The 13,480-nt window shown below is 41.4% G+C and overlaps 1 annotated feature.

The window, feature by feature from the left end:
• Positions 4,255 to 4,760: an enhancer, noted in NCBI's record as "OCT4-NANOG hESC enhancer chr5:33931143-33931648 (GRCh37/hg19 assembly coordinates)". NCBI's record gives its function as "activates a minimal SCP1, AML or CMV promoter by ChIP-STARR-seq in naive H9 embryonic stem cells {active_cell/tissue: H9 hESC(naive)}" and the evidence as "EXISTENCE:reporter gene assay evidence [ECO:0000049][PMID:30033119]".

The following is a 13,480-nucleotide window of genomic DNA, read 5'->3' as shown; positions in this document are numbered from 1 at the left end:
AAAGTAATAACAGTGGCCTCTTTTCATGCTCAAATGAGATAATGGGTACTTATTGGATACACAAAGGACAGCTCCACCTCCCCTCTTTAATTAGCTGACCACTTACGCAGTACCTGTGTTTGTCAGGATTTTCAAAGGGTCTTCACATGGCAGAAGTCTGGGCTCAAGGGTTGCCCCTACTTTAATGTATTCTGAGAGGTGACACAAAAACAGAGCAAACAACTGATGGTCCTACTTCACAGAAATTAAATGCCCTAAGCCCAAAGCGCTTCAACAAATTGTTTGATCACATACAGGCCACAGTCTCTTTACCTAGATGCAAATAGAATAGAGGATACCACTGGGCTGATCGTGAACCACCAGCCCTCCTATTTCCATTACTGTTAGCATCAGGACTCTTTTTCAGGCGTTTTTCAGACCAATGGAAGTACATTCTAAGGACTCTTCCAAGGGAATGAGTGGAAACCACTTGAATTACTTCTCAAGCTTCAGTCTACATAAATGCCAGGTCAATCGCTCTGGTGTAAATTACACTTTTAGGATTTACTTTAAAATTTTGAAATGTTTTCCTCTTGGTCTGGGACTAAACTGAAACCAAAGTTTCTTAAGCATAATTGTCCTCACTCCTGGAGTACTACAGAACTCCCAGCTTTACTTAAGGAGATAAAGAGGATGCAACCTTCAAGCTGAGGAGATAAGAAACAGAAAAAGAAAGAAAGAGAAAAACGAAAAAGAAAGAAAGAAAGAAAGAAAGAAAGAAAGAAAGAAAGAAAGAAAAGAAAAGAAAGAGAAAAAGGAAAAAAGAAAAAAAAAGAAACAAGAAACAATCTTGATTCCAAAGGACTTTTAGCCCTGAAGAGCACACACCTTGCTACGGATGCTGCACAGCTCCGTCTTCCCACTAGAGGGAGTAAGGGCTTTAGTAAAAACCTAGCCAAACACAAACATCTCCTTTGATCAGTTCTTACCTGGAGATCACCCCTGCCCTGAGGATTCCTCCCAAAGCACAGGTTATTTCTATGGATGACTATTATCCTGGTTTTAGTAGCCTCACTTTCACACTCAGTTTTGACTTTATTTTTAACTGGTTATTTCTCCATCAATTTTCTCTCTCTCTTCATCTATGTCTCTATTTCTCTTTTCTAATATTTCAAGGGGCTGTTGAAACACAAGAAAAGCTGGGGCATACCCTGAAAGCTCTCTGCTGTTAAATTTTTGGTATGTTCACACCAATGACCTCCATCTAACACATACACAGCTTCTCAGTGCTTCTAGGCACACCCAGGAATATATCTACTTGGTCTGCTCCAAATCACATGTACATATTCATACTTTATGAAAAAATTATAGGGGCCTGATTCAATTCATCTCACATTCATTGGCCACTTACTCTTGCCAGGCACTGAGATAGGCTGAAAGACATAAGTCCTCTATTTTGAGCGTCTCTGGAATTCTTAATCTAGATGAGTGTGCAATCTACTAGTGTCTAAAACTATATTTTTTGTTTAGTTTTGTGCATGACTAAGTTATCTAGAATGTAATGATTCATGCCAGATAAGTGGACAATAATTTTACCTCTTTTATTATTTCCCTTTTTTTTTAAGGGGTGGGTAGGTAATAAATAGTTATACCTTGATGGGATATTCCAGTTTTAGGTTTTTTGGGAGGGGGTACTCTATGTTGGTATTTAAAGAAACCATAAAGGAGGAAGGGTGCAGAGCTTGTTATGTTACATATGTGGTCTGTTTTTCTGTTCCTCTTCTTACCAAAATTGAAACCAGGCTGTGATGGGGGCCTGGAGGAAAATCAGCATCAAGAAACTGTCTCTCATTCACAGTGGCAGGGTATGGGATCTTGAAACCTTTTTCTGGGCTTCTTTTGTGTTCCTGAAGCCATGTGGGCCATGCGAAGCCATGAGGACAGCATAAAATCATACTCTAGCATGTAACCATTGGGAGCCCATGATCATAGAAGGGAAGAAATCACCTGCTTTGGTCCAGCATTTTGCGGAGGAGGCTTGAAGAAATGAAGGTATTTACCAAGAATCTCACCACTAGGAAGGAGCCACACCCGGTCTAAAACATAGTCTTGACTCTTAAGTGATGTCTCTTGATCTATGCTCCATTTTCCAATTTGGATCTAAGTCTTCCATATTGTTTTTCAACACAGGGGTGGGTGGTAGGCTGAATAATGCCTCCCCCCACACACAAATATGTCCACATCCCATTTCCCAAGCCCTTGGATGTTACTTTATACAGCCAAAGGAACTTTGCAGCCACTAGAAGCTTAACTAAGCAAAAAGATGGATTCTCTCCTAAAGCCTCAAGAAGGAAACAGCTCTTCTGACATCTTGGCTTTACTCTAGTGAAACTGATTTTGAATCTCTGATCTCCAGAACTGTGAGAGAATAAATGTACCTTCTTTTAAGCCACAACATTTCTGCCCATGTGTTATAATAGCAATAGAAACTAGCATAGGGTGGGTACACAGCCTGGCTTGAACATAACCTAATGGGAAATGGAGCAATTCTGATTTGAACATGTTGGTTAATCTTAACACCGACTTTGTGCTAGACACTGTGTCATGTACTAGAGATTTAGTGGTACCAGAACTCACATTCTAATAGATGAGAGAGACCTTTTAAAAATTTGAATTCTGGGTTGGGCACACTGTCTCATGTCTGTAATTCCAGCACTTTGGGGTGCTGAGGCAGGCAGATCACTTAAGGTCAGGAGTTCAAGACCAGCCTAGCCAACATGGTGAAACCCCGTCTCTACTAAAAATACAAAAATTAGCTGTGTGTAGTGGCACATGCCTGTAGTCCCAGCTACTCTGGAGGCTGAGCCAGGAGACTTGCTTGAGCCCAGGAGGTGGGGGTTGCAATGAGCTGAGATCACATGGCTGGACTCCAGCCTGGGCAACAGAGCAAGACGCCATTTCAAAAAAAAAAAAAAAATTCTAATAAATTGTATTATTATAATTACAATAAGAAAAAAACAGAGTAAAATAGAAAGTTACAAAACCATGTGCAAGTAACTAACTTTTAACTATTTACAAGCATATTTATCTAATTCTAAGATTCACATCTTATCAAATTAAAGATTTTTAAGATCAATATGGATTTCCAATTGCTATATACCTATTTAGTGAATAATTTTTTTCTCTAGAAAGCTGTAAACAAAAGGTGTGTCTTATAAGCTATAGTATCTTGGAAGAAAGGAAATTCTATAATCAGGTAAATGGGGGTGAGGTGGGGGTAAGGAAAGGGGAAGAAAGAGGACTCTGGGCAGAAGGAACAGCCTGAGTGAAGGCACTGGGCAGGAAAGAGCATGATGCTTTTGTAGGACAGAAAGAAGATGAAGTGCCTATAACACAGGGAGATGAAGTAAATAGTGCTAGATAGTCTGGTGACATGGGCAGGTGTCAAACAATTTCCGACTGCAGAATTTTGATCTATGACTTTGGAGTAATGGAGGACATTGGAAAATTTGAAGCAGGGGAGCAACACAATCAGTTTCGCATATTCAAACCATCACTCTAGATATAGTGTGATGAGTAGACTGGAAGGGGCGGAGCTGATATAAATCAAGACAATTAGGAAGCTACATCAATAGTTCAGGAGAGAGATGATTGTACTTTAATCTAGAGGGATGCGGGGCAGAATAAGATTTAAATAGGCATTTAAGACACTGACTTGACAGTACTTGGGGGTGGACTGCATACAAAGAAAGGGTGAAGGTAAGGACAAATTAAAAGCTTTCAAGTTTTTACCCTGAGCATGTGGGTAGGTAGGCATGCTGAGCAAGTGAGGTGGGGGAAGATGACACATTCAGGCTGGACATATGAGAGTGTGAATGCCCCAATCAGATTTAGATGTCAAAAAGACAGTTGAATACATGAATCAGTGACTCAGAGAAGATAAAAATATGTGGGTCTGCAGTGTATAGATTATAATTGAAGCTTTGACATTGATGAGACTGTCTAGAGAAAAAGTGTAGAGTGAGAAGAAATCTCTTGTTAAACCTGGGGGAAATCTGAGATTGGACTGTCTGGTAGAGGTTGGAAAGCCTGTTGATGATAATTGCTACATGTATATTTAATGAATATTCTCACTGTTTATGACAATGAGAATTAGAGCTAGAAAAGAGGAAAACTAGGAGCCTGTGACATGTGAACCCCGAAAATCCGAGACGGGTCTCAGTTAATTTAGAAAGTTTATTTTGCCAGGGTTGAGGACACGAGCCCATGACACAGCCTCAGGAGGTCCTGATGACATGTGCCCAAGGTGGTTGGGGCACAGCTTGGTTATATACATTTTAGGGAGACATAAGACGTCAATCAATATATGTAAGAAGTACATTGGTTCAGTCTGGAAAGGCGGGACAACTTGAAGCAAAGGCAGGAAGACTCGAAGCGGGGGAGAGAGCTTCCAGGTCACAGAAGGTGATATGCAAAGGGCTACATTCTTTTGAGTTTCTGATTAGCCTTTCCAAAGGAGGAAAATCAGGTATGCGTCTATCTCAGTGAACAGAGAGGTGACTTTGAATAGAATGGGAGGCAGATTTGCTCCAAGCAGTTTCCAGCTTGAGTTTTCTTCAGTAATTTTGGGGGCCCAAGATACTTTCCTTTCACACATGGAAGCCAAGAAATAAAAGAAATGTAGGGGAAAAAAAGCAGGGGCTGTATTTAATGCTGTGTCTAATGTGAGGCCAAGGAAGGCAGGAAAGGAGAAATGTTCATTGGATTTATGGACATGGAGACCATTGAAAACCTTGGGGCACTATTTCGGGAGGCAGATACTGGGAGAGGAGATACCAATGAAACTAGAAAGCTATTCTCATTGACTTCTAGCAACCAAAGAAACTGAGTCAACAGGAGAGACAAAAGTTTGTTTCAGTTCAACTGGCAAGTCAGTGACAGAATTAGAAAGGGATTCAGAGATATTGACTAACATTTCACCCTTTGGTTTGTTAATTGACGCTTTAATTGAGTCAATTGACTCTTTAATTGAGTCGATTAACTGCCTAACAAATCAAAGAGTTTGAGCCTTTGGGGTCCTCAGGCACCACTGCTAATCTAAGCAGTCACTTTAGTCTAAATTAAAATTTCTCAACCTTGAAACTATTGACATTTTAGGCCATATAATTCATTGTTATGTGGGAGGGGCTGCATTGTATGATTATTATTTACTAGCATTTCTGGCCTCTACTTGTTAGATACCAGTAGCAATCCCAGATGTTGTCTTGTCAGACAACCAAAACTGTCTCCAAACATTGCCAGACATACCCTGGAGGCAAATATCTCTTCCTTCCCCAAGGTTGCAAACCACTGGGCTAAACATGAACCATTTGTTAGAAAGGGAAATGGCAGGAGACTGTGAAAGAATCTTTTGTTACTCATTCTCACTTCTAGGAAAACAATTCAAGGGACCTCCCCTTTAGGTGGGAGTTGGAAGGGTGTATAGAGAACAACAGCATGTTACATTTTTGTATGCTACATACACACCCCTCCGAGCATTGGTGCAATGCATCCTTTTCACTGGAAATCCCCATCCTTTCTCTAGATGCTCTTCAGTTAAGCTAAAGCAGAGCTTGCTAATTTCTTTTAAATAGATGAGCAGACCTGCCTTGGGAAACTTCAGAGGCTCTCGCTCATACATTATGGTTAAGACTTCCCTGACATTGCCTAGATGGAAGAGAAGTTCAGGAAACCCGGACCTTGGCACATTGGCAGTTCTGATGTCCACCCACAGTGGAATGGTTTAGTCCTGTGGCTACTGGATGCCGCCTCCATCACCACCGTGCTAAAGAAGGCTCTGGCTCACTCAGGGGCCTGCTCCATAGCCTGAGGACATTGTGCTGCTGGTCCTCCCGAGCCCATTCTGCAAGTGAAGGAAACTACAAACAGACACGGGTTGTACCTTTGGAACTTTGTGTTCAGATGTCTCCCAACTAAGATTCAGGTTAGACTTCTCCAACAGGCATTCTAATTTAATAGGGATTTGAATGTTGGAAAGAGAAGCCCAGGGATAGGGCATTCTTATTTGGAAGTGAGAAATCTGAGGTCTGACACTAAGTAACCAGATAACGATACCCCAGTCAAATGACAGTGTAGAAGCCAAGTCTCACCAAACACAGGCCTCCATAACAACTCTTTCAGTACTGAGTGGTTAAGTTAAATACGAAAAGCCAGTGGCTTTATACAAAGGCTGGTATGTAACAAAAGCCCATCAAGAGTTTTATCTAGGCCTTTCCTGGGCCTTAAAGCATGACAAAATAAAGAAGGAATTCTTAACAGGACCCATTTAGGATGAAACAAGTTTTATCGTGGGGCTGAAGAAACTCCCCAGGCCTCAAACAAGTTCGTTGGGGGGTCTGAAGAAACTCCTCAAGCCTCCGTAATTTAGCAGGAGACAAGATAAGGGTAATCACGCCAGCACCTGGATCCATTTAGATTAAGTAAATTTACTGAGGCTCCAGAGAAAGGTCTTCAAGACTCAGACCGTAGTTATAGATTAAAAGAAGTTAATCACTTATGTCTTTAGATGAATGCACACTTACAAGTAGACATACAGCTTAGAAGGTTTATAAACTCTGGAAAACTTTGTAATTTTGAATAGGTCTGGCGATAATTTCCAGGCCTACTCCCTGTAACCGGCTACAGAAATAAAAACTCTCTTCTTCCCCAGTTCATCTGCATCTCATTATTGGGCCATGAGAAATAGAAGCCCGACCCTCAGTTTGGTCCTGGAACAATGCTTCTGGGTCTCAGGTTCCTCATCTATATAACGAAGGAATTGAGGTTCTTGAATATTCTAAGATAGACACTGAATCGGTGACATCAGAATCAACTAGAGCTTGCTAAAAAATACGGGTTGCATCGCTCTTCAGACCCCAGATTCTGATTCTCAGTGGATTGGAAAGGAGCCCAGGAATCTACATTTCAAACATTCTTCCAGGTGATACTATTTTTTTTTCAAGTTTGAGAACCTCTGGACTAAATTTTATTCTAGTTCTAACACTCTATGTAAACAAATTTTAAATCTCAAAGAATTAATCTGCAATGATGGTTTATCATACACTGCGATTGGAAGTAAAAGACATACAGAGAAGGGGATATTGAAGCCTGACAGGTGATATCTCTTCATTGTTGGACTATGAGGGTCATGTGCTCTGGAGGTACATCAGGCCATGAGTACCAACCAACATGAGACCCAAGCTGAAACTGAAACTGCCTTTGAAAAATTATAAATGAGGAAATTATGACTTTGAAAGAGATCAGACCTAACTGACCCCATCTTGCTTCTATCTTTTAAGCTGTCCTTGCTCACTCCTGGGCATAGGCTGAACTAACCTCGGGAAGGCATTCAGTTTATGATTTGACTCTGAAACAAAATTGATAGCAGCCCTTTCCCCAAAAAAAACCCCTTTTTGCCTTGGGACCAGTCTGCCTTCGTAGGACTAACAAATTAGCTACAAGAGTAGAAATTATGGTTTAAGAGTCATGCAGCCTCTGGCTGCAAGAGTCTGAATCTCCCCAAATTGCTGATGGGGATAACATCAATATTGTAAAACTGAAGATCGGTGCTTGAAATATTTTGCAGACCCTGTACTTGATGGACCAGCTGACACCACCCAGACTATTAATCTGGCTCAACCAGTTCTGCAATCCTACCCAGGAACAGAAGACAGCAAGCAAACCTCACTTTGACCCCCACTATGATTCTATCTCCAACCTAACCAATCAGCACTCCCCACTTCCTGAGCCCCTACCCACCAAATTATCTTTAAAAACTCTGATCCCTGAATGCTCAGGGAGACTGATTTGAATAACAAAACTCCAGGTCTGCTGCACAGCTGGCTCTGCGTGAATGATTCTTTCTGCATTGCAATTTCCCTTTCCTGATAAATTGGCTCTGTCTAAGCGGTGCGCAAGGTCAACACGTTGGGTGGTTACAGGACCCCAGGAGAACTTGTTCCCAAGTGTGACCCTTGGAGACTGCTGCTGGAATGCTAACACACATAGAATGTACTTGACTTTTTGAATCTGTTCTTGAAAATGAACCACAAGATCATGTGTAAGAATTTATACTACTGTTTAACTAAGCCTGTGTTGTGGAACCAAAAAATCCTTTTTCTTTTTTTTGAGATGGAGTCTCGCTCCGTCGCTCAGACTGAAGTGCAGAGGCACGATCTCAGCTCACTGCAACCTCAGCCTCCCAGGTTCAAGCGATTCTCCTGCTGAGCCTCCCGAGTAGCTGGGACTACAGGCACGTGCCACCACACCTGGCTAATTTTTTGTATTTTTAGTAGAGATAGGGCTTCACCTGGTTAAGCAGGATGGTCTTAATCTCCTGACCTTGTGATCCACCCGCCTTGGCCTCCCAACATGCTGGGATTACAGGCGTGAGCCACTGTGCCCAGCCTAAAAAAATCCCTTTTCAAATGACTTCTTTTCCAAAAACACTTAAAGATATTTTAGATCACTTATCTTAAAAGTATGGGCCATGGTTTACTCAAACAGGATCTAAAAATTTCAAGGAGAGGGGCATCACAATCATGGTCAAATACCATGTCAGTGTACTGTTAAAATATTACCAAAATCTTGCCATATAAATTTCTACTGGAAAATTAGGCTGGTGGATAATTTGATTGTATTGTTCAGGAGGATCTACTTTGTGGAAAAATAAAAAGAGAAGATTTATTTCTCCATCGTCTGGTTTTATTTTATTTTATTTTATTTTATTTTATTTTATTTTATTTTATTTTATTTTATTTGAGACAGAGTCTCACTCTGTCACCTAGGCTGGAGTGCAGTGGCGTGATCTCAGTTCACTGCAACCTCTGCCACCCGGGTTCAAGCGATTCTCCTGCCTGAGCCTCCCAAGTAGCTGGAATTACAGGCACCTGCCACTGCGCCCGGCTAATTTTTGTAGTTTTAGTAGAGACGGGGTTTCACCATGTTGGCCAGGGTGGTCTTGAACTCCTGACCTAGAGATCCACCCACTTCGGCCTCCCAAAGTGCTGGGATTACAGGCGTGAGCCAGCACGCCCAGCCCACAATAGTCTGGTTTTAAATCAGCCACCGCTTGCTTCCCCATCCTCACTCATTAATCTGATTGTCAAGTTTTATCACTGTGGATGCACACATGTCAATCTCTGTTTTCCCAGATTGGTGCCTTTGCTAAAAATGTTCTTGTGAATGTTTTCTCTTTTCCCTCATTTCAATGTGTTTCAATCTGACCTGTACTTTAAGGCAAAATGCTACCTTCTTTGGGAAGCCTTCCCTAATTTCTTAAGAAACAGGTAGGCTGGGGGCAGTGACTCACGCCTGTAATCCCAGCATTTTGGGAGGCCAAGGTGGGTGGATCACTTGAAGTCAGGAGTTCGAGACCAGCCTGGCCAAACGGTGAAACCCCATCTCTACTAAAAATACAAACATTAGCTGGGTGTGGTGGTGGACACCTGTAATCCCAGCTACTCGGGAGGCTGAGGCAGGGAGAATTGCTTGAACCTGGGAGGCAGGGGTTGCAGTGAGCCGAGATTGCACCATTGCACTCCAGCCTGGCCAAGAGAGAGAGACTCCATCTCAAAAAAAAAAAAAGAAAAGAAAAAGGAAAAAGAAAAAAGAAAAAGAAACAGGTGTGATTTTTTTCCCCTCTCAATCTTAGAACCCTCTATTAGCATATCTCTTAAGGCATACGTACCTGTGTAAGGAGTGCTGTGGCTCTTTCAGTATATTTCTCATCTCATTTCAAAGGGTGTCATCCTCTTGTGGACAGGCCGTGTATCATCATCGTGGTTGTTTGCTCTTAGTGCTGAGCCCAAATCTTTCACATGTGTGAGCACAGAACAGGCTTGTTGATTGGAGTCTACATTCAGGTGGTTTCCTCTTAGGAAGGCAATCCAAAAATCCTTAAAAGGTAACTTACAAGTTTCCCCTAACTATCCACTCATGTAGAATATCCAAGTGTAACTCTAGGGGAATTGACATTTTAAAATATTTTATTTTTGCCTAACCTATACCTGCATCTAGCTTAAAGCCACCTGCACATTAAAGCAAGGGTGAAGCCTTTTAAAAATACTGATGCCCAGTGCCAATCTTAAAACAATTAAATCAGAAGCACTTGTGGAAGAGTAAAACATGAAAATTTCAGTTCCCCAATAGCTGGGTCCTCTATATTTCTTCTGCCCATAGGCACATTCAAATGTTTTAAACAATTCTTTTACTATATAGCTCAATAACTCTAGCTGATATGCTTATATTGCTACTCTATGTTTTCATTTTAGGCATTATTTTTCAGTTCCTACTGTGGAAGGTGAGTAGCCCTTTTTCTCACACATTGCTCTTTCACTTCTAGTAACATTCTAACACCTCCCCATTTGGTTCTGTTGTACTTTTGAAAGATCAATTTCTAGCATTTATGCTGTAATGACTTTACTAACAATTGAGCCATACAGTATATAGCAATTGTTTTTTTTTTCTTGCACAATGTTTTGTCTCCATTGAAATTAGCAATTATCGTGGTTTGTTCAACGTAATGATCACTAAAGTATCCTCAAACTGTCTTTGAATTGTGAAAAATCTTTTCTCCATATCTTAAAAAAATTAGGTTCTTCTCTATCTGAGGATGTTAGCCTCTTCTTGCCTAAAGACATTCTGCCCTGAGGTTAGGGCCTTGCAAAGGGCTTTTGGTCATCCTAAGGACTACCTCCCCTGTTTAAAGAGGGGGCTCTATAATCAGACAAAGTCCTGGCAGGCCCCAGGGAGTCTGGGAATACTTAAGCGTGACACGTGAAGAAAGTACAGTATACACCAAAATAATTGCAAGTTTATCAATGTTGTTGATGGAAACTGAGAACATTTATGGAAATGGATCCTAAAAGTGCTGGATTATGGTGGAAGAAATGCAATGTTGGTCTGGTCACATTTGTTGATATGAGTACAGCATGCAGAGATTCTAGATTTAGTATATTAGTTCAAGCTATAGGAAGTGGCTCTAACAGTGTACTTGTTGGTTGGTTGAAACATGGATCTAGAAGTATCCTAGACAAAATTTAAACTGAAATGCCAGAAATTTTAGAAATGTCTCAGTATACTACAAGGGACACTACCCAGATGCTTAGGATGATAGGCATGGTAAAGTAGATTTACCACGTAAGATCTGCTTACTCATCCCTAACTGTGTATACTCTTTCAACAAGGCAGCAAGAAATACATTCATGAGGGGACCCTGGGCATCTTTGAAGACCTCTGTGGAGTTGTTATCAGTAGGCCAGGAATGCAAGTGGGAACTGCTGTCATTGACCTAGACTCCTTGAATTCAATGAAGATAATGGGATTTCAGGGTGGCAGGGGCCCAGTGGAGGCCCTGAATTAGCAGAGGTGAAGTAGGAAAGGCATGACAGTATGCAGCAAAGTGGAAGCAATGATCAGAATGGTTTGACCTATGACTTCAGTGCTAATTGACCATTGTTTCTAGGACTGAAATAGGTGGACAACCTTGTAAGGTCTTACTTGATATGTACAAGCAAAAAAGTCACTAAACTTTGTGAACAGAGATCTAACTTGAATCACAGTAACAGAGATGTTGTCCCTCAAATAATTACCAGATTTGAACCAGTTTATAGATGCGGAGTCCCTTGGATGAAAGGGAGGCCAGGTACCTTCAAGGAAGAACTGTGAAAAACAGCCAAAAATTTGTATTGTAATCATTCTCTTTAGCTTTCACCAAAAGAACTTGCATTCATTTGCCAGTGTGACTGGGAATAGAGGAGAAGAAATAGCTAGACTTTGGCTCTGAATTGACACTAATTCCTAAAGGCCCAACATTGCATTGTGGGCCACTAATCAGAATAGAAGCTTATGGACATCAGGTGATCAATGAAATTTTGGCTAAGCTCTGTCATATGGTGGGCTTAGTGTGTCCCCTAAACCACACTGTGGTTATTTACTCAGTTACAGAATGCATAATTGAATTACTCAACAATGCGCAGAATTCCTCTATTGGTTCCCTGGTCCATGGAGTGAGGGCTACTGTAGAAGCCCAAGTGGAAGCTAGTAGAGTGGCTTTTCCTCACCAAAATAGTAAACCAAAAGTCATACCATATACTTGGAGGAATCCTGCAGAAGTTAGTGTCATCACCAAGGACTTAAGGGGTGCACAGGTGGAAATGAAATGGCAACCATTTCTGTGTATGGCAAGAGGCAGTTGTATCTTGCTCACATTTTAAGTGACCTCCATGCTACTTTATTGGCATTGGGCAGCAGCTGGGATTTTAGCTCTTCCACTTTCTACTGCATATCTTTCTTTAGCTTTTTTTGAGTCCTGGGCCAGGCACATGTGTAGCTCTATAGCAAAAGGTATCAGCTTCCTCTGCAGGTCATCTGCATTGTCAGTTCTGGAGGTAGTGAGAGAGGGATTTTACTAAATTCAAGTTTGTCTTCATGGGTTCCAGCAGAAGAACAGTTTTTTTTAAAGAAGAAGAAGACAGGACAAGTGAATATGCCTGGAAATGATTGAAGGTTATCTTACTCCAACTCCAAAGAAAATTTGGCTGATAGATTTAGGCAGATCCTTCTAGCAGGCAAAGAGCAAAGAACCAAAGTCAGCTGTGCATGGGAGACTATGCTTGAGGGAGAGACACATGAAAAGACTGTGGAAAGAGCCTAGGAGGCCATGCTTGAGAATTTGGATTGCACTTACAGCACAACAGGAAGCCACCAGAGGGATTTATGTAGGTGCAGTAGATGCTGTTGGTACCCTGCACATCTCACCTTAGCACGTGCCATTTCCCTGTTTGCTAGCTTGACTTTCAAGTATCAGCTCTGGAGACTGTTTTCCCCAAGGCCTTTCTGTGGCAGTCAGAACCTTCCTTGCATGCTGTGGGGCAGCCTAGAGGTGGTGGAAATTTAACCCTCCACTCTCAACCTTATAAGGTCTCAGGGGACCTTATAAGCAATCACTGATGGGAGTTGATGTATAAATATCCTGGCTACCTTGCTTCTTTGGCAGAGCAACTCTGATGTGTGCTTACTCTATTTCCTGGAGTTTAGAGATAAACCTTTAGTTGGCAGAGTGGAAACTTGCGACAATACACCCTTTATTAGATTTCTTCCCTTCTCTATCTCACTTCTCCACTCCACTTGTGTTATCTGAGGTCATCTTCCAAATAAACTACTTTCACTTGAATTTTTGGTTCTGGATCTGATTTGGGGAGAGTCTAAATTAAGATAGCAGGAACATTATGGAATCCAATTTAAACTGTGTAAAGATCATACTAATTGCTGTATGGTGAAAGATTGTAAGGCAACCATGGTGTGAGCTGGGAACCTAGAAAAATGCTACTGAAGTAGTCTAGGTGGAAGGGGGAGCAGCTTAGCAGTGGTAATTGTGGGGATGGAGAGAAGTCCTGATCTGAGTTTTATTTAAAGAGTAGAATTATAATCAGGATGTGGTGATGGACTGGATGGAGTTAGA

The sequence above is a fragment of the Homo sapiens genome, chromosome 5 (genome assembly GCF_000001405.40).
Source record: "Homo sapiens chromosome 5, GRCh38.p14 Primary Assembly".
In the NCBI taxonomy this organism is placed as follows: Eukaryota; Metazoa; Chordata; class Mammalia; order Primates; family Hominidae; genus Homo; species Homo sapiens.
The sequence above is the reverse complement of the archived record's forward strand: the minus strand, read 5'-3'. Positions and strand labels throughout refer to the sequence as shown.